Consider the following 20882-nt stretch of genomic DNA (forward strand, 5'->3'; position numbering starts at 1 on the left):
CTTATAATCTTTCTTCTGCCAGCTACTCCCGTTATTTTCCATCTTGCATACCCAGCTAAAAAGAGTTTTCTAGAATACCATTCTTCTTCGCCTGCTCTCCCATTCACAAACTTTCAGCAACTCCTAAATGCCCATAGGATAAAATTCCAATGACTCTGCTTGTCTTTTAAGGCCCTCCACAGTATGACTCCATAATATCTCCCTAACATTATTTCCACCATGTCAGCATGGTGAAGCTATGTGAATTTCCCACAATGTCTAATGCACTTTTTAAACCTCTGGACCTTAACTTTTTTGTTTGTTTGTTTTTTGCTTTTTGTTTTTTGAGATGGAGTCTCGCTCTGTCACTCAGGTTGGAGTGCAGTGGCATGATCTCGGCTCACTGCAACCTCCACCTCCCGGGTTCAAGCGATTCTTCTGCCTCAGCCTCCCAAGTAGCTGGGACTGAGGCACGCACCACCACGCCCAGCTAATTTTTGTATTTTTAGTAGAGATGGGGTTTCACCATATTGGCCAGGCTGGTCTCAAACTCTTGACCTCGTGATCCACCTGCCTCGGCCTCTCAAAGTGCTGGGATTACAGGCATGAGCCACTACACTTGGCCTGGACCTTATCATGTTGCTTCCCCACACCACCCCACAGATCCATCTTCAAGGTGCTTCTTCAATAATGGCACCCATTGCTAGAATATCTCTGGATGCTCCCAGCACACAGTGAGCTCTCTCTTCTTAAATTCCATAGCTTGTGTAAACCATAATACTCTCTAGGCCTAGAGAGCAAATGTGCATCAGGCAGAAGTTAAGGCTAGCCTTTACCTGTCATCTCCCACCTCAGCTCAGAAAAGGGTCTCCCACCTCAACTCACATGCATCTGCTGGTGGTTATTTACTAAATATCAGGTTCAAAAATAGTTTAGGGTAGGGCTTGCCTTCTCATGGTTAGACAAATAAGAGAAACAGAAGAAAAAAATATTGGATCAAAGGTATAAAATTTCTATTTCATCATCAAAATACTAATTGTACCCTACTTTATCATAGAAGGAGGAGGAAGGGTGGGAAGAAAAAGGAAGACATCTAGAGGGATGGCTCAAGTTTAGAGCAAAGGTAACTGATTCCCATCTGTGGTTCTTCAAGGCCCCGGAAAGAACACACCCAGTGCTTTGGGTTTAACAGCGATGACCTTGAGCCATTTCACTTGGAGTCTCAGATTTCTGGAAAATGTGGGTAATTTTCTCTGCCCAGCCCATCTCACTGGATAATAGCTGTGAAAGTGCTTTGTAAGTGTAAATGCAAGAACTATGTGAGTGGTGACTAATTTCCAAAGGCCAGGCCGCCCCCAACCCCACCTTCAGAGCATTTCATCTGTTAAAATACATGAGACCATTGGGATCTGTAGAAGAGCAAACGCTCCCTTTTGCACCTATGCTGTTGACTGATGACCTTCTGGTGCTGGAAATGTCTTGTGATTCTTGGACTATTATTAGGGATGGTTAAACTGGTGGAGGGAGGCTAAAAACGGCCAGCACAGCCATCACTAACCTTTTGGTTTCCCATTTCAGGAACCAGTTTCAAAATAAAATCTTTTTTTTTCTTTTTTTTTTTAATGAGAACACATTTCTGTAGTTCTTCACAACACACTGAAAGAAAAGAGAATTTCACTTTGCAAGACTGGGGAGATTGTCTTTCCTGAGTTTGCTCAGCCCCAGCCATTAACCCTAGAACATTTGTTCCAAACTGGAACTTGAGCCTTGAAGTTCAGCCAAGTTGGGTGGACTTCCTGGTGCCTCCACTGCTGGCCTGTCTGAGCCCTGCCCTGGGACAAATGTACAGGACTCTAAATGGAGCAGAATCTCAGGGAACAGTAAAAGGGCTGGGGAGGGCAGAGTTTGGGGTTGAGGGACTCTGGGCTTCTTGCTCTCAAGTCCATATCTGCCTCTGAGTTACCCATGGGAATTTATTCCTCTCATATTTTCTTTCTTTATTTGTTATTTAATTCACCAAAATTATATATATGTATGGTGTACAAGATGATGTTTTGATATATATCTATACTATGGAATGGCTAAATCAAGCTAATTAGCATATGTAGCGCCTTATTTTTTTGTGGCAAGAACACTTAAAATCTACTCTGTTAGCAGTTTTCAAAGAGTTAATACATGCTGGGCTTCATACCTACATGAGGAGTTGATAGGTGCAGCAAACCACCATGGCACACATTTACTTATGTAACAAACCTGCGCATCCTGCACATGTGCCCTGGAACTTAAACAAAAAGCCCAACAAAATAATTAAATATATATATATATATTTATATCAATATAAAATGTATTGATGTTAACTATAGTCACCGTGATGGGCAATGAATCTCTTGAATTTATTAAAATGTGTCCTTTGACCAACATCTCCCCAGTCCCACCACCTGGCAGCCTCTGAGAATAACCATTTTATTCTCTGCTTCTATGAGTTCAACTTTCTTTTACATTCCACATATAAGTGCCACATTTTCATCTGAAATACCCTTGGGCTCCCAGGCTCCCATGTCCTGGCAGGCTTCAGTGAACCATCCACCTAACCGCCCCACTCCCCTAACACGCATTTGCAACCTCGCTTTAATTACCACCCCCATCTCCTCTAAAGCAGCCAAGATATTTTAAAACCCTTGTTTTGATCTTCTTTGCATATCAGTTACACTATTTCTGAGCGTGTTTATTTTTATTTTTTTTTTCCGGTGGTGAGCCCGTCGCTTTGAGCCCTCTGCTCGCACGTTTCCACTTCCTCTCACTTTCCTGTGCGTGGCTGTGGCCTCCGAGTGTGCTGCTCAGAGCAGGCCGGGTGATTCTCATGGGCCTGTGGCCTTTGATGGAGCCAGGGGAGGCAGGTTCTTCTACCACTGGTGCTCCCTTGCTCCTGACATCTGCAGAGGCAAGATGAAATTTCAGTTATGTTTCATTTGTTCCATCTCCCAAGGAAGTAAACCTGACTACTAGTCAGAAAAGGGAAAAAGGGCCCTTTCTTGGGCATGAAAGAGACCGGGGATTTAGTCCAAACTCTGACATTGACCTTAAGAAAATCCTCTTCCCTCTTGGGATTGAACTCAAAATTGCTGAAGCTCCCATGGATTCTAACCAACTGTTTTAACAATTAGCTATTCTAACAATGTGCTTTTCTAACAATTAGCAAAATCATTTACAATTGAAGATGAGCTTAGGATCAGCTTCTGAAATCAACAAGTTGGAGACACAGGAATGATTGAGGTGCTCCATGTTCAAGAAGTGATGCCTGAGATTTGTGGGATAAACCTTCTCTTTGTGATAGGATCTTGTGAAATGTGTATGATATGACTTGTGAAAAGTCCAAGCTAAACCCTTGTCATGACATACATCTAAATTCACATGCTTCCCAATGTTTTTTTATATACAGCATACCTAGAACATGGTATTATTTGTACAGCAAACTGGGTGAAAGAACAAGGCCACTCTTGCCCGGTAGCAACCAACTCATTAATTGTGGCTGTGCTGAGCTCTTCCTGGCCACTCCAAAGACTGAAGAGACACTATTTGGGCCCATTTGAAACCCAGATTTGGGAAAGTTCAGTTTAAAGGATTAAGTCAACTCTTTGTCTAATCAGAATAACAAGAGTGTTCTGGCCTATAAAAATCACAAAATTCTAGAGAAGACAAAGCAGGTAAGAAAGTGGGTCCCGAATCCAGACCACGGGGGTTCAGATAAAGACTCTACCATTTACCAACTCTATGTCTTTGGGAAACACTAAAGCTCAGTTTCTTCTATCTTTAAAATGGGAATAATAATATTCTCAGTGGCCATAGGACAAAATAAGGTAATGCATTTCAGTACATTCCAACTACTTAATAAATATTAGCTATGGTTATGGCTAATGCTAAACAGGAAATTAAAGATCATTTGGTCCAATCTTCTCATTTAAACAAAGAAGAAACTTTGACTTGATCAAAGTCACACAGATAGTTAGTAGCTGAACTGGGACTAGAACCTAAGTCTTCTGATTTCAGTCCTGTGCCTTTATATACTAAGGGGTATGATACTTCATTCTGTATTAAAAACATCCAAATTACTAAGTATGTAGGATGAATTATTTTCCACCAGAAGACATTTGGAAGGTAAGACTCTTCCTATTTGTTTTAAATTAGTTTACCGGTGACTCTGTCTTGAAGCATGGGCTTGAATGAGATGATTTCTCAAAGTATTGCCTCCTATTTTAGGTAGGTAGCCAAGGGCTGGCCTGCTTGGCTTTGGAAGGCACAGAAATGGGTACAGCGGTTGTACATCAGCATCTCAGATGCCAAAGGCTTCAGGTCACCAATACAGAAGTCCCATTTCACATATGAACATACTAAACCTCTGGTTGACTCAGAGCCACACATGTCCAACAGTAAAACAAGAACTAGAACTTGAATCTCCAACTTGATGCTGGTGCCCATTCCATAGATCTCACAAGGAGAAATAGGATTTAAGATCCACTGTTGCTGTATACTTGCCACTTCCTTCAACCCTATGAACGTGCTGACATGCCCTGCAAAGTCAATTGTTCATTTAATTGTGCTTTGTTCCTTTCTTTTTTTTTTCTACCTCCAGCCACAAAGGTTTGAGGTAATTTATAGGAAATACAATAATGAATAATGAAGAGTACATAAAAATAAACTACAATATCTTATCAATAAACCATAGGATATATAGGATTGTGCTTTCCAATGTGGCAGCCACAAGGCACATGTATCTATTTATATTTAAATTAATTAAAATTAAATATAGTTAAAATGTAGCTCCTCAGGTTCACAAGCCACATTTTAAGTGCTTAGTCACCACATGTGTCCAGTGGCTACTTATTGGACATTTCAGATACAGAATATTGCCGTGATTGCAGAAAGATCTATTAGACACTGCTGTCTAGACAGACAACCAAGTCATATATTCTTACACATTTGCAATAAAGCAGCCAAAATTTTGGCTCTGAGCTTCGTGTTGGCAAAGCCAAATAAAACAAAGCAAAATCAGTTGTGTCATCATCAATTCCTCAAGGGAAGCAAAGCTTTTCTAGCACTTAGACCTAAAAGAATTCCTCATATGGGGTTTTATAGAAAAGGCCACCAAGTGACAGAGCAAATAATGTCTTCAGAAACCACAAGAGACAATTTCAATTTATAATTCACTAAAATTCAACATAATGAAAACACTTCTCTGGTGAGAGGTTAGGATACTTACCTGGTTCTAAAGAGAGATACCTTAGTTACATCAGTCAAGTGAACTTGCTCTACAGAAATGACATTAGAACTGAGGCCTGAATGACAAGATGATGCAGCCATTGTAGATCCAGAAGAAGAACATCCAAACAGAAGGAAAAGTAAGTGAACGTTCTTCATATCTGAAAGTATTGAGCAAGTTTGAGGGAGAAAAAGGCCAGTGAACTTCATGGATGAGGCTGAGAGTGGAGGGAGATGATGCTGAACAGGCAGTTGGGACCAGATCATGTAGGGTTTTATAGCTCATGGTAAGAGGGTTTAGCAAAGAGATAAACTTATAATTTATGGCTTTAGAAAGATCAGTCTGGCTACTGCATGAAGAGCTGACTGTAGAGGGAAAAAGTGTGGGCAGGAAAAACATGATAATAGCTTGGAATAAGATAGTCAGCAGTGCAGATGGTGAGAAATAGTCTAATTTGACATATATTTTAGACGTAAAGTCAATAGGACTTGCTGAGAGATTACACATAGGGTTTCAGGGAAATAAAGAATATTAGAATGACTCAATTATTTGCGTTGAACGAATAGCTAGGAGGCCAGGTAGCACTTACTGTGATAGGGAAGACTTGAGGGGAAGGAATTCGGGGTAGAGAAAGACTAAATCAATAGTTTGGTTTGGGTCACAGTTTGTGTGAAGTGCTTTTTACATATACAAGTAGAGTTATGGAGTCTGAAGCTCAAGGGAGAAGTCAGTTAGAGATAGAGATTTGAAGTTTTCTGCGTATAAATGGTATTTTAAAGCCAGGGGACTCAATGAGTTCATCCAAGAAGAGTACAGACAGAATAGAGATAAGAACCCCAGAGCACGCCAAAATCTGATGTCGAGGAGAAACAGCCAGACAAGGAGACAGAAAGGTAAGGACAAACCAGGTGAGTGTGGGATCACAAAGCCTAGAGAAGAAAGTGTTTAAAGAAGTATGAAGGATTGACCATGTCCAATTCAGCTCAATAGTTCAGTTAGCTGAATACACTTCGACCTTGGAAATATGTAGGTCATTGGTGACTCTGATAAAGGCTGTTTAAGTGGAGTGATATAGAGTCTGAAGAAAATTAGAGCAGAGTTGAGGAGAGAAAGGGAGCTAAAGAAGTGGAGACAGGAAATGTAGATCTTACTTTTAAAGGTCTTTTTGTGAAGGCATTAAAGAAAGGGGGTGGTAGTTAAAGGGACATGTAGGGCCAAGGGAGAGCTGGGTTTTTTTTTATTTTTAGTAGTTGTTATAAAGGCATATTTGTATGCTGATGGGTTAGATGTAAAGGAACATCAGAATTTGATGTTGCAAGAGAGAAGCATAGGAAAGGAGATGGGATACAGAGGACAAATGGAAGGGTTGGCCTTAGAAACTATGCCACTTCCTCCACTATAATAAGAGGGAGGTAGTGTATGTGGGCACAGATGCAGGTGGGTTAAGGAAAAATGCAATAACTCTCCTCTGATAGCAAAAAGGAAGGTCATAATCCCAGGGCATGGGATGTGTAGAGCATAGTGGATATTCAAGTAGGGAGCTAAAGGTTTGAAAGAGTTGACCCAGAAACCAAAAAGTGAATTTGCTAAATGTATCATAGGATCCTCTGGCACGGTCCGTTTCAGGTTTGTGATCACAAATTTAAAGTGAACTGATCAGCATGGTTTACAATGTTCTTAACAACATTCCACTGTTTGGATGCAAGCAAAGGAGGAATTAGAGGATATACATTTCACCAGGATTGCAGTTTTGCCAGGTACGATAAAGGGGAAGGCAGCAGAGGAATGGGGGGTATTGGAAGGAGAGAGTTTATGGCACAGAGTAGAAGGAGTCAAGGTTGGAATAAGGTTTAAGGCTACCCAGTAACACAACATCACTGGGCTCCACACATATCCAAAGTGTCTGCCTGGACCCATCGGTATGCCAAGAATTTTCCTTCCCTCCAAAAAGGAAGCTCACTACTGACTTCACCTGGTGCCCGCCACATCTAGAATCCCCCTTCAGGGTTTTGCAGCCAATTAGGAACTGAGTGCTGGGCACCAAACTGGGTAGAAGAGTCACTCCTGAGCGCACACACACTTGCAGTGGAGTCTCAACACTTTATTTAGACCTAAAAGGCTGTGTGGCTGGCAGGAAAATACCCTACACATGCAGAGAGAAGACCTGGGTTTCATCAGTTTCTGTGGCTTTTACCAAATGAGAAAGTTTTTTTCATATCCTGAGCCTCTGTTCCCTCTCATCATAACTCTGGCCTGGCTTAAATTATAGCTGCTTATACAGATCTGATGAGATGGTGAATGTACAACCATTTTCAAGTGTAAAGAATTATGGAGATGTGAGAAATTACATTGTTATTATGACTCGGCAAGGGGGTACCAAATGCAAATCTAAGGCATTTACTGGTGTGAGATTGATTTCAAATGTCAGCTAATATAGGTCACCATGGCTTATAAGCAATTTGCCTTAAAATTAGAAACTTATGAAATGCTCAAGATGAAAGGCAGTACATTTCAAAACAGAGGCAATGGGAAGCAAATTTCTCTCTTTTTTGTGCAACATCCTATGAACCCACGGTTCTCACAGGCCCAGGATATTGCTGCAGTTGGCAGCCTGGTGTATTTTGAACAGCACAGTGCTGATCCCTGGGTAACTCTGTAATCCTGAGTGAGTCACTTTACCTTTGGAGGCCTCAATCGCCTTCTCTGTAAGGTGGGAAGAATTGTACTCCCTCCTGTTCCACTTACAGGGTATCAAGAAGATCATATTATTTTTAAAGGAAAAAAAGAACTGAGAAATACTCTTGGTTACTCTGCAAAGAGGTTGGTGTAAATGTGAAGTGTCACTATTATTAAGTGTGAGGCAATCTTTCCCACCCGCATCATGTCCCAGCATTACAATGTGAGCTGTGTGACAGGCTATTTTTAAATTCCCATCTCTGGAAGCATATGGTCCTGCACAGTGCCAAAAAGAGAAAAATGACCTGCTTCAGTTTGTTTGCTTGTTTGTTTTGATCTGATGGAACATTTTCTATGATCCTGTTAAAGGTTGTTCTTTCTACTTTAAACTTTTAAGGTGAGTGCTAAAGATTTTCTATAGCATAGTCTGAAACACACCGTGGCACTACAACTTGCTTAGACAATGATAAGAGGTCATCCCAGGGCGATGGTGTATTTATACAAATCTGCATTTTTTGTGTATCATCTAAGACTTTTCAAAAATATAGTTTTTTTATTTGTTAACAATTTTTATGCTTTTGTTCTCTAATTTTGGGTAGTTTTGTTTGTTCAGTAGCAGCATTTTTAGGTAAATTTTTTTTTGCAAATAGTAGTGCATTTATTTTATAAAATAAAGCGATTCCTTTTCTTTAATTTTCTTTAATGTTACCTACATAAAAAGAAGTTGTTTCAAAGTTATCCTGATTGTTTATTGTCATTTCTTTTATGTTTTATTAATATCAATTGCTATTGACTGAAGCCCTTTCCCATGACAAATATACAGTATATCTGTTATAAACTTCATTTTTGCTGCCCCCTTGACCTGACCTAACTTTACCTCCTCTCTTGTGCTATTTGGCAAGACTATCCTGAATCTTGTCAAACTTCCCACTCATTGAATTTGATTTCTGACACCAAATTCCTGGAAAGATATCTATCTGATCAGTTGGAAAAGAAAAGAGATAAAAACACCTATTTCACAAGTTTCACGGGACCTGACCTTTGCGCAAGAGCAAAAAATTTCCCCAGTTGAGGTAAATAAGGTTCCCACAAGCTTTTTTTCCTTTTTTCTTTTTCTTTAAGGTCCAGGATTCAACTCTCTTGTCTTTGGGTCAAGTGATAGCTAAAACTAGAATTGATGAAGTTTCATGGCATTTAACCAATGAAAAAGGTAATTTAAAAGGAGGGTGCTAAGGAAAACTCAGAAAGAAAGACAGGGCCTGCATCTTCAGCTAAATGATGAAATCAAGAACACGTAAGAGGAGTTTGAAGTGTTCTGTGTGATCCTGGGGGCCAATAAGAAAGCCAATTGAGGAAATTCACAAAAGCGCAAAATTAAAAAAAAATTATGAAGTTACAGACATATCCAACATTGGGAAGCTCTTCCTTAAGCAGCGGTGACAAAACTCTCCAGCAGTCATGCCGTACCCATAAAGACCTTCTTCAGGCCAGGGCACAGTGGCTCACATCTGTAATCCCGGAACTTTGGGAGGCTGAGGTGGGTGGATTGCTTGAGGTCAGGAGTTCGAGACCAGCATGGCCCACATGGTGAAACCCTGTCTCTACTAAAAATACAAAAATTAGCCGGGTGTGGCGGTGTGCGCCTGTAGTCCCAGCTATGTCAGGAAGTCGAGGCACGAGAATTGCTTGAACCTAGGAGGTGGAGGTTGCAGTGGGCCGATCATGCCACTGCACTCCAGCCTGGGCAACAGGGTGAGACCCTGTCTCAAAAAAAAGACCTTCATCTTCTCTGTCTACTTTATCACCTGGCATCGTCTCACCTCCTCCAACTTCTCCACACCATTAATGATCTCCCCCTCCTCTGTACTTCTAGGGGATTCAGAGGCTCTGGGCATCATTTAAATAGTAAGTACTTCACAGACTTGAGGTGTTACATATCTGTTTTTAGGGGATGTGTCTTGGTCTCCCAACAATGAGTTGTAAGTTCCTGGAGGGTAGGGACCATGTCTCACATTTCTTTTGAACTCCCTTGGTGCTAGCACATTGTTGGGCACAGAAGAGTAGCAACACTCCTTCACATTCATGGCAGGCTTTAGCGTTTACAAAGCACCTCCACCTGCCATTCATGCAATGTTCCCAACAACTAGGTGTTGTCCGCAAGGCAGATAATGAATAGTATCTGATGGGTGAGGAAACTGAGGTTCAAAGAGCTCATTACACCTGCAAGTGCAACAGAATTTATAGTCCAGTGCTCTCCCAGTAATAACCATTAGATGAGTAGATAAAGAACAGATCTTGCAGTTCAAAAATGTGTGGGTAGCCAAAGGGAAGTGGCCACGTATTCGGCTACATGCCCTGTCATGCTGATGTAGATTGACTTCCAATACAGGCTAGAGAATTCTCTTTGTATGGATGGACTCAGTCTGAGTGACACATGGTCCATGTCTCTTTGACTCTGGCCATGTTCTGCAAATGAGATGAGATTCCAATAAGAACCAAGAACGTTTTGGGATGTGTTTCTATGGAAGCCTAGATAGAGATCAGTAATCTCAGACATCACTCTGGGCAACCTCTGGGCCTGTCCATCTTCAGGCATCTAGAAATCTGTGCCCAAGGCAGACAGAAAAGACTGGGTCCTGGAAGAAGCCTCAGGCACCAATTGGACCTCAGTGTTCTTCACTTCTTTAACTGCTAAATTCACCCAATCACATTTAAATAAATTTTATAAGACTTTGAAAATGTGTTTCTGTTCCTCTAGAAATTACCTCTAAATTTTCTAGTATAAACGTCTGCCAGCTTTGTTCAGCCAAGTTCCTTTCCCCCTCTTTTCTTTGACAATGAAAGCAGCTTTGGTGCCAACGCTCAGAACTGGCAGGTGTTTGATGACACATGTTCTGTGATAAATGTTTATTACATAAGTTCATTCAAGCTAGCTACCAGAGCTTTTGAGGCATCATTGCTACTTATCATAAAATTGTCCTTGAAAACCAGAAGCCCAATATATTCCCAAAAGCTCTATTTTTTTTTCTTTCTTCTTTTAGGTTCTCTGTGTTCTATCGACGTCTGGTGCAATGGAGAAGTCAGGAGATGGTACTTGAATCCTGACTCTGTCACAAGCTGGCTGTGTGACCCTGGGAAAGCCACTTCTGTACTCTGAGCCTAGTTGCTCATTTGTAAAATGAGGAGGTGGAAGCTGTGATTGCCAGGGTCTCTCTAATTTCTGACGTATCCCGATAAGAGGACAAACTGGTGGGGAAAAAAAAAAACCAATTTCAGTCAAGCAGAAACACATGCTTGCCTTTCCTTACCCAGAATGTGCTTTACATAACCGAATTTGCTTCCTTTTTTACTGGCTTGCACTCCAGTAAGGAGGCAGGGGAGCAGCACGGCTGGCAGCAGCTTGGAGAGGGTGCAGTGTGCAGGGATGGATGTGGGGAGGGGATGCTGAGGGAGGCTTCGCTGACGAGTGAATGAGGCACAGGCACCATGAACTACTAGAGCTTTGTCACACTTCTTATTACTGTGATTATGTTATATTAGAATGAAAAGACCTGCAGGGTATTTAAAGTGCAAAAACCTAGAGAAGAACTATTAAGAAACTTCCAGTCCCATGATTATTCTAGATAAAGCATTCAGAAACTTTAGTTATGCAAATTAGATTCATTTTTGAAGAAAATACTTACATATTAAGAATTTTACGGCTGGGCGAGGTGGCTCACACCTGTAATCCCAGCACTTTGGGAGGCCGAGGAGGGGGTGAATCACCTAAGGTTAGGAGTTCGAGACCAGCCTGGCCAAAATGGTGAAACCCCATCTCTACTAAAAATGCAAAAATTAGCCGGGCATGGTAGCACGCACCTGTAGTCCCAGCTACTGGGAAGGCTGAGGCATGAGATTCACTTGAACCCAGCAGGCGGGGGTTGCAGTGAGCCAAGATCGTGGAACTGTCCTCCAGCCTGGGTGACAGAGCAAGACTCTGCCTCAAAACAAAAAAAAAAATTTAAAAATTATCAGCTTGATATTTTTTCCTCCAAAACTTTCAACTAGCCCATGCGGAAACATGTTGTAGGTCTTTTCATGCATTAACGTTTGTACCAAAAAAAGCTCACACACTGTTATTGTCTCCATTTTACAGGTGAGAAAACTGAGATGCTAGCAGGCCCAGCACCCTGTCAGAAGATTCAAATCACAGTTGGCAACGTTGAGAGTTAACCCAGATCCCCTTGCCTCCGGGTCTGGAACTCTCTGCTACTGTGCTCTAAGGCATTCTTCCACACTGCTCCACAGAGGGCTTTTCTTGGCCTCAGGCAGAGAGATGAGTAATTATCTGTAAACCGGAATCAGGGTTTATCTCTCTGCTGTCTAAAGTACTAATGTACAATCACAGACTGTCAGAGCAGTAAAGTTCCCTAGATATCATTTAAGTGTTTTTCCTCAGCTGAGTACCTCAGTGGTACTCTCTGGTGCTTTTGAACAAGTTAGTGGCAAAATCAGCACTGAAATCCCTTAACTCCCACTTTATACTATTTATGAGACTTGGTATTAAAAAACAAAGTGAAGCCAGGCATGGTGGCTCACGCCTATAATCCCAGCACTTTGGGAGGCTGAGGCAGGTGGATTGCTTGAGGCCAGTTCAAGACCAGCCTGGCCAACATGGCAAAACTCCATCTCTACTAAAAATACAAAATTTTCTGGGTATGGTGGCACACACCTGTAGTCCCAGCTACTTGGGGGGCTGAGGCAGGAGAAACACTTGAACCGGGAGGCAGAGGTTGCGGTGAGCTGAGATCATGCCACTGCACTCCAGCCTGGGTGACAAAGCAAGACTGTCTCAAAAAAATCAATCAATCAAACAACAACAACAAAACAAACTGATTTAGAAGATCAATCACTAAATAAATAGAGTATCAGGAATTATTTTTTTCAAGTTACTTAATAATCCTGCTGGCCAGGATTGGACAGAGTTAACTTTTGCCTCAATTTCTTCAATGACTTTCATTACCAACCTCACCAATATCATGTAGAGGGACTGAGGCAGAAGGAACTGTTACTGCCTATGAGTCATCCATTCTTGACCTTCAGCATGTTTTGAAAATGTGTTGTGAAATGCTTAACAATCAATAATTCCATCACCAGGCAGTATGAGGCTGGGAGTTATGCAACAGGCGGAACAGGGCATTACTGCTACATCATTCAGGAGACTCCAAATATCTGTTGTGCTCAGAACCCTCAGCAGGACCTAAAGACACAAAGTACCCATAAAAGTTATTTTTTTTTTAAAAAAAAAAACAAAGAGAAGATGGAAGACAGAGGAGAAGTGAAAGTAGACTTCTTTCCTTGCATTGGATCAGTAAAGTGGGACTAGCAGTTAAGTGTGGATACTCTCAAGCTAGCATGTCTGTTCTTTTCTGTCAATGGCTAAGTCACACTCCAATGTTACACTGCTGCTAGGCAACTCTTCTCTGCGCCCTAGACAGTGGCTTCATCTCCAGACATTGCAAGTGTCCTAGGTGAAGGTAGCTAGTACAAAGGAAAGGAGCACAGAACAAGGAGGTGAAGACCCAGTTCAAGTCCCTGGCTGCCACTTACAGGCCTATGACACTGAGAGTGGTCACATTACCTGTCAGATCTCCAGGCCCTTCTGTCCTACCAAGGGTAGATGACATCTGCCCAATAGATTATACCCAGTTCAGAAGTGATGAGGGATGTGAAAACACGTTACAAACTACACAAATGCAAGGGACTATTAGTAGAAACCCATGAATCTGATTTTGCAAGCTCAGATAAAAGGAGTCTCCCATTTAAAGATGGGCACTGGGGTATGACTTGTGGTTAGAGGCAAAATCAACGCCTGTGCCACGCAGGTGACAGAGGAGAATTTTCAGACTCTAATTTGTGCAGTCACCATGAGCTATAAGCTGGAAAATGTTTAACTGGTTCTACAGTGGTGAGAAAGCCCTGAATTATAGGTTTTGCTGATTTCTGTGGTATAAATACTTGCACCATGGCACATTCAAGCTCTCAATGTGACATCAATAACCATGGAGTGAGGAAAAGATGCCCACCACTGTCTCTCCCTTTTATGCAAGTCAACATACTACTGGAAACTTCTCTGGAGGCTTAGGACCCTATAATGAACTTTGCAAGCCTTCTTGACATATGGGACTCAAGTTGTAACATTCAGCCACAAGTGTCTGCTCTAATAATTCAGAGATGGAAATTCTTATTTTTATGGACATCCCTGAGCCCTAAAATGTAGTTCTAACATCCTTAGTAATGTTCTTTTCAAATCTGATGACTTGAGAGATCAGCAAGCACAGTGGAATCCAGCACAGCATGAAAATGGAGTCAGAATCTTAGATCAGGCAGTTGCAGTCCCATCTGTGTGACCTTGCACAAGTCACCTGCCATTTCTGAATCTCAGTTTCTTTGTCTACAATATGGGAAGAGCCCTGGTTTTGCCTGCTTCCAGGGCTATTGTGAGATCAAAGGAAAGAATGCAAGTGCAAGAGTTTTGAGGACAGCAAAATCCTATTTGGCTTTGAATTATTAATATGACTTGCTTAAAAGTTTATTACTAGACTAATCCATGCTGTGCTAGGCAAGCCTTGCACAGGAACTTGAGTCCTCTATCTAGAGCACAAGCCCATACCATGGCTCTGCTAAGTTCAGTCAGGCTCAGGTGGGGCTTGCGAGACATAAAGTGAATGGCCCCTAAGGCCTGTGGAGTAGCTCTATTACATTGGGCCTAGGAGCATCCAAAACTGCTTTTGCCCACAAACTTTCACAACAAGTAACTTGTGGAGGTTAAAAACATGATCCAGCCCAGACACCATCATTCTAGGGCTTTACCATTATCCCTGAAGAGCTGGGCAATGGACTATGCTCAAAAATTTTCCCCAACCAACTTTGAGGCCATATTTAAGGCTAGGGTCTGTTGGCGGGGGTGCCTGGGTGGGGGTCTGCATTTTAAACAAGCACCCCAGTTAATTCAGTTACAAGCAGGACTTGGTCAAAAAAAATTTTATATGGTGTGAAACTTGATGGAGCAGAACAAGGAAAAGATTCTCCATTGATTCTCTGCCAGGTACTTGATAGAAAGCAATACTTTTTGAGGGAAATCCTGGCTGTGCAGGGAGATACCTTTATAATCCACTTCCTGGTCAGGCTTCTTTCTTTCCTTCATGCAATATCACTGCCCTTAGCTACCCAAACACACATAAGATGAATAAAATATACAGCTGTGCCTAGGTTGGGCACACAGAATGCCAGCCACTGAGGCTTCTGCTAACAGCATAGCCACTCACTGTCTGCCATCCAGCACCCACCCAAAGCCAGCACAAAGAGATGATTTCAGAGAGGTTTGTCTAAAGCACTGTCTATCCACTCAGTCCTTTATATATCCTAAAGGAAAAGTTCTGTTGATCAACACAACACCTATTGATTCTGTATCACCAGTTAACATATCCTAAAGACAACCTTATTGCTCCATGTACAGCATTATTCTATCTTTCATCTGCCCATTTAGTCAACAAATACTTATCAGGCTCCAACTGTGTCAAGCACATATATAGAGCTGGAAATCTAGGATGACTGAGGTTCCGTTCCTGTCTTTGAAAAGTTAGTCTTGGAGAATTCAGAAACTAAGCAAACAGTTGCAGCACCATGTGGTAAGTATAACTGAGATTTACACAGGTATTGGGGCATACAAAGGAGGGAAAACCACACTATGGTGGCTGTTGGAAGGGGATCAGGAAAGCTTCCTAGAATAGGAGGGGACCAGGTTTGCAAAGGTGGCAGGAGTTCTGGACAGAAGTAGTAGCCTGTGCAAAACATGGCCACAGGGGCAGCGATGTGCACCGGGGGAGCAAGTAGCCCGTGTTACTGGAACAGAGAATCTGTCAGGGGTGTGGCAGCAGATCAGACTGAAAACCAAGCAGGTGAAAGTCTTCATCTGCCAGGCCATGAGTTTAGATTTCACCTTGAAAGCAACGGGCAGCCTATTCAGAAAGACTAGGTTTGCATTTTTTATAGATGAGTTTGTAGAGAGGTAGTGTAGAGAACAAGCTGAAACAATAAGAAAGCAAGTTAAGAAGTCATCGAAATAGGCTAGATGAGAGACGATAGGGACCAGAACTGAAGCAGGGGTGTTGGAGGTGAAGAGGAGAGGAAGGATTTTGAATAAATCAACGAGACAGTGTCTCCAGGATTCACTGGGTGTGGGCTGGAGGTTGGGGTGAAGTCATCTAAACAACCTGAGATTTTCTGACAGGGAGAGCTTATGTGTGTGATGCTTTAACCAAGATAATAAACACAGGGAGAGGAACCAATTTCAGAAAGAAGTTAATGAATGCAGTTTGGAATATGTTCAGTTTAGGATGACTCTGAAATATCCAAGTGAAAAAATTTAGTCACTAGTTAATATGCGCTTGCAGTTCAAAACAAGGAATGAGATGGAAATATAAGAACTTTTTTTCATTAGATGTAAAACTCTTGCTAAAGACATATTCATTACTCTTCTAATGAATATACTCAGATAATGTACTCAGTGATACATTCCTTTTCAAAATTAATATTAGGAAAAATGTCTCTCAAATAATCAGGACACATACTTCAATCAGAAAAAGAATATTATGTACGTCATCATGTTTACTTTTTTGTCCTGCCTGCCAGGAAGCTCAGTTTATATTTCATGCTCAGTTGCAGTAACTACACCAAGCCTTAGAACATAACACATTGGCTTTCTCGCTATTGTTCTAGTTTTATCTTCTTATTTGCAGTGTAACATCCCATTGCATGTCCCGTATATTGAAAGCTGCCTCTACTTCTCTCTGGTAATAAAAAGTATGTATGTTTTCACTTGATATTATTAAGTTAAGGTTGAGCCCTATTTATTTCAAATATTTTTAAGGCTCCCAAAAAGCAGCTTTTTTTTTTTTTTTTTTTTTTTTACAGTCTATGACAGTGGCTATTTTTTCCCCAGATAAAAGAGAGAAAATTAAACAACAGCAACAACAACAAAAAAACCCACCCTCTTTGGAAAGGGAATTGATCCTCAGGGACTAGTTAGAGCCAAAGGAGCCAGAAGCTTATAGATCATTACAAAAAGCTAGAGCCATTGACTCAAAAAGAGCATCCGAATGGTATGAGGAAGAAAACCTGAGCAGATGAGTTCCGACCCAGCCCCTCTCCTACTTCTCAGCCAAGTGGAACGCTTTACTCCCAAGATGAGGTAGGGCCATGACGAAAATAGCATCAGAGAGGGTTTGAGTACATTTCTTTCAAGTTATTAAGAGATATCCTTAACCTTAGAGAAAAAAAAAAGTCATCATCATGATAATTTTTATCATTTAACAATGCCCTTGAATCCATTATCTACCTGAGTCTTCTCCAGTGTTCTGATGGGTAGGTTAGGGCAAAAACTGCCATCGTTCATACTTCATAGATCCATATATTCCCACATAATGTCACCTCGGGCCACTTTTAGGAAACACCTATCAAGCTGGGCTTACTTCCCTTCATTAAGATCATTCACAGTTATGAAAGTAGAATAACAAGGCTGGGCGCCGTGGCTCACACCTGTAAAACCAGCAGTTTGGGAGGCCGAGGTGGGTGGATCACCTGAGGTCACGAGTTCAACACCAGCCTGGCTGGTGAAACACCCTCTCTACCAAAAATACAAAAATTAGCTAGGTGTGGTGGTGGGTGCCTGTAATCCCACCTACTTGAGAGGATGAGGCAGGAGATTTCCTCGAACCCGGGAGGTGGAGGTTGCAGTGAGCTGAGATTGTGCCATTGCACTCCAGCCTGGGCAACAGAGTGAATCTCAGTCCCAAAAAAAAAAAAGTATAATAACAAGAGCAAATGATATTACCTGATTTTTGCCCTGCACTTTCAGATTCTAGAGCACTGCCACCTCCATCATAATATGTGACCCTCACAGCCATCCTCTGAGGTAAGCTAGGGAGGATTTATTATCCCCATTTCACAGATAGAAAAACTGACACTCAGAGATGTGCAGTAACAAGTTGCGCTCCCTCTTAGCTGCCTTTGTAGAGTTAAAAAAGGGAACATGGAGACCATGTGCTCCTGGATGTTCCTCCACGGAGCCCAGCAGCTTTGGAATCCTCTCGAGCTTTCAGGAGGAGCCCCTACTTCAGGCTTCAACAGCTCATTTACTGGCATAGTGAGATGCTAATGATAGAAACCACCAAATGGACAGTTTTAACTAATCTGACTTCCCCCTTCACTAATGAATGCAGCCACTTTGTCCCACAAAATCAGTAGTGGGTTAGAACCCCTTCTTTCCTTCTGGTAGAATTCACCTGCCTCTGGTTTCATCAGCCAAGAGGCCTGAGAGCAGCCAATCAAGAAAGCAGCAATCAAAGTAATTTTTAAAGGAGTTGATGAAATTAAGAACATTGGGTTTTATTAAGCCAGGTCCAGAAGACCTTCCTAGCTGTGAGACCTCATGCAAGTCATTTCACCTCCCTGTGTCTTACTTCCATCTGAAAAATGGGTCGAAAATAAGCCCCGTCTGACTCACCATGTAGACTAGTTCTAAGATCATAGTTAGGTGTTATTAGCACCTTGTAAATATGTTCTCAGAAGGCGAGGGGTACTCAGTTCTATCCATGCAGGAATTTCCAAACATGTAACTCAAGGGGCAGAGAGGTAGCCTAGGAAAAGCATGGGCCTCATGGGACACAGACTACTAGGTGTGGCACGTGCAGTGACGCCTGCATTGTGGTGAGAAGAGAGACACAGGGATGCCACAAGCAGCTACACAAGACCCCTTTCCACATGTACCCAGGCTGACAAAATCACCAGAAAATACAAGCCTTTAAAAGAATCAATTAGTCCCACAATTTTATTCCCCAGGGAAGATAAAATTTACACGCTTCCTGTAATCAATCAATCCCACAAACCTCTTGAAACTTCAGTCAGAAAATTTGCAAACTGCTAAGCAATACACAACTTTTTTTATAGGTGGCAGACTAGAGGTGGGAAGGGAACATCAGGCTCTTTGATACATGTAAACGAAAACATGTTGGTCTTTAAAGAGTTATGATGAACTCTCGGTTTTTCAATAGGAGACTAGAATTTTAAAATCATAGACAGTAGAGCCAGAAAACCTCTTAGAGGCCATTTTCTAATGTATCCTCCCCCCACCCATTTTACAGAAAAGGAAACTAAAACTCAGACAGACGTGACCTGCTTCCAGTTATACCACAAGGTAAAATCAGATAAAATCATGAGCTGTGTCCCTTTCTGCATTTAACTCAGCACACATTTACTAAGCACCAACCAAATTCTTGCTGAAGAAACAAAGATGGATAAGTCGCAGAATGCATCTTCAAGGAATTCAGAGTCCATTAGGGAGACAGACATATAAGCAGATGATTCCAGCACAGATTGGCATGTGCTATATTAATGATACAGAGTGCTATGAGAATACACAGAATTGGGAGTGGCTAATTCTGCCTGGGGTTGCCAGGAAAGTCTCCATCCAGGAGTGGGCATTTGAGTGCATTGACAGATAGAGTGGAAGAGCATTCCAAGCAAAAGGAAAAGAGTGAACTAAAGCAAGGGGACGGGAGAGAACACAGCTTGTGTGGAAAGCCCCACACAAATAGTTTGAAACAGCTGGAGGGTTTATAGAAGGTGCTGCAAAACCACCTCAGGGGATGTCACTAGGTCACAGCTGCCACCCTCCACCTCATTTGGCATGCTCCCTGGGGCTACGGCCTGTGTCCACCTAATGGGCCAGTATAACACCTGGCCAAGTGCCGATGGCATGGTGGGGCTTAATGAATTCCCTTTGAAGATGAGAGGATTGTGAGGGAGAAAAGAATTTGCCACTCAAGTGAGTCAACTGGAACGGAAGGTGTGTCCTGGCTTCTGAGACCTAGCACTCTGGCTGGTTGACCAGACAGCCGAGGTCACCTCCCCTGGGGCCACAGGGTTCTACTTGGGAACATCAAGTCTTTTTTCAGCAAGTTGTTCCTAAGCCACAACACTCTGGCTCACCCCCTGCCTTTGTAGTTTTACCAGTATAATTGATCCCAGAGCTCGGTTTCTGCCATACCCCTTGGTTTCCTAGGGAGTGATGATATATGCAGGCCTCCTTGGAGCTGCAGCACAGCCCAGGCCTCCTGGGGGAGAACACGGAGGGATATGTAAGAGGCAGACATAAATAGTCTTGCACTGCAGTAGTCATCCTTTTGGGTGCTCTGAGCTTCCTGTCCTGAGCTAAGATTTTCCTCTGGGGTTAGCTGAGGCACAGAAAGATAAACAAAGCTTTAAAGTGACTCCCCTCATTGGAAAGCTACAAGCACTTCCAAGACACCATTTTTTCCTACCTTCTGATAAGCGTGTCTAGGCTTCCCATCATCACACCCTGTGAAGAATCCGTAAGGTGTGTATGGGAAGAGGAGAGACCACTTGAGTATGAGACGTCTTTCAAGTGCCCTCCCACATATGCTAGGTCTACAAAATGTCAAAACAGCCAGGCAAATCATGCCAGGATTCATCATGGCAGGGGGAAACCAGTCACCCCTGATACTCACCATTGAGCAGCCCAAACAACTCTTAATGACTAAGGTTTTTTCCACTTACACCTGGTTCTTTTGCTTTCACCACACAATCGTGTTAGCAAATGAGATCCTTGAGTAAGCAAAACAGGTCCTTCACCGATTATCTTGTAAAAACACATTCCATATCCTACTACAGATATTTAGAGCAAGCAACATTTATTCACCTAGGTTTTTCAAAACACGCCTCCAAGCCATTTTTACCATGTAGTTGCTATGATCTGAAAAATCAAGTGTGTGCACAAGCAGGCAGCCAATGGCTTGCGAGAGAAGGATAACTGGGCAAAGAACAAAATTAAAAGCAAGTCACAGATGCAGAAAATGCACTTACAATTTATGTAACTGGATTAGTACCCAGAACACAGGAGGAAGAAAAT

The 20882-nt window shown here is 42.1% G+C and overlaps 1 long non-coding RNA gene across 2 annotated transcripts, besides 1 other annotated feature; it reads right to left on the reverse strand.

The window, feature by feature from the left end:
* On the reverse strand, window positions 2724-20356 carry LINC01991 (long intergenic non-protein coding RNA 1991). 2 transcript variants are annotated; one of them, NR_135538.1, is made up of 3 exons: window positions 20275-20356; window positions 10678-11158; window positions 2724-2912 (listed from the first exon to the last, which is right to left on the reverse strand). It is a non-coding gene; the product is annotated as a long intergenic non-protein coding RNA 1991 (long non-coding RNA). The 2 variants fall into 2 exon arrangements; NR_135537.1 differs by lacking the exon at window positions 2724-2912 and having other exon boundaries at window positions 8660-11158.
* Window positions 2773-2912: an enhancer, noted in NCBI's record as "active region_20974". NCBI's record gives its function as "activates an Ori minimal core promoter by ATAC-STARR-seq in GM12878 lymphoblastoid cells {active_cell/tissue: GM12878}" and the evidence as "EXISTENCE:reporter gene assay evidence [ECO:0000049][PMID:35858748]".
* Window positions 20357-20882: the final 526 nt, after the last annotated feature.

The sequence above is a fragment of the Homo sapiens genome, chromosome 3 (genome assembly GCF_000001405.40).
Source record: "Homo sapiens chromosome 3, GRCh38.p14 Primary Assembly".
In the NCBI taxonomy this organism is placed as follows: Eukaryota; Metazoa; Chordata; class Mammalia; order Primates; family Hominidae; genus Homo; species Homo sapiens.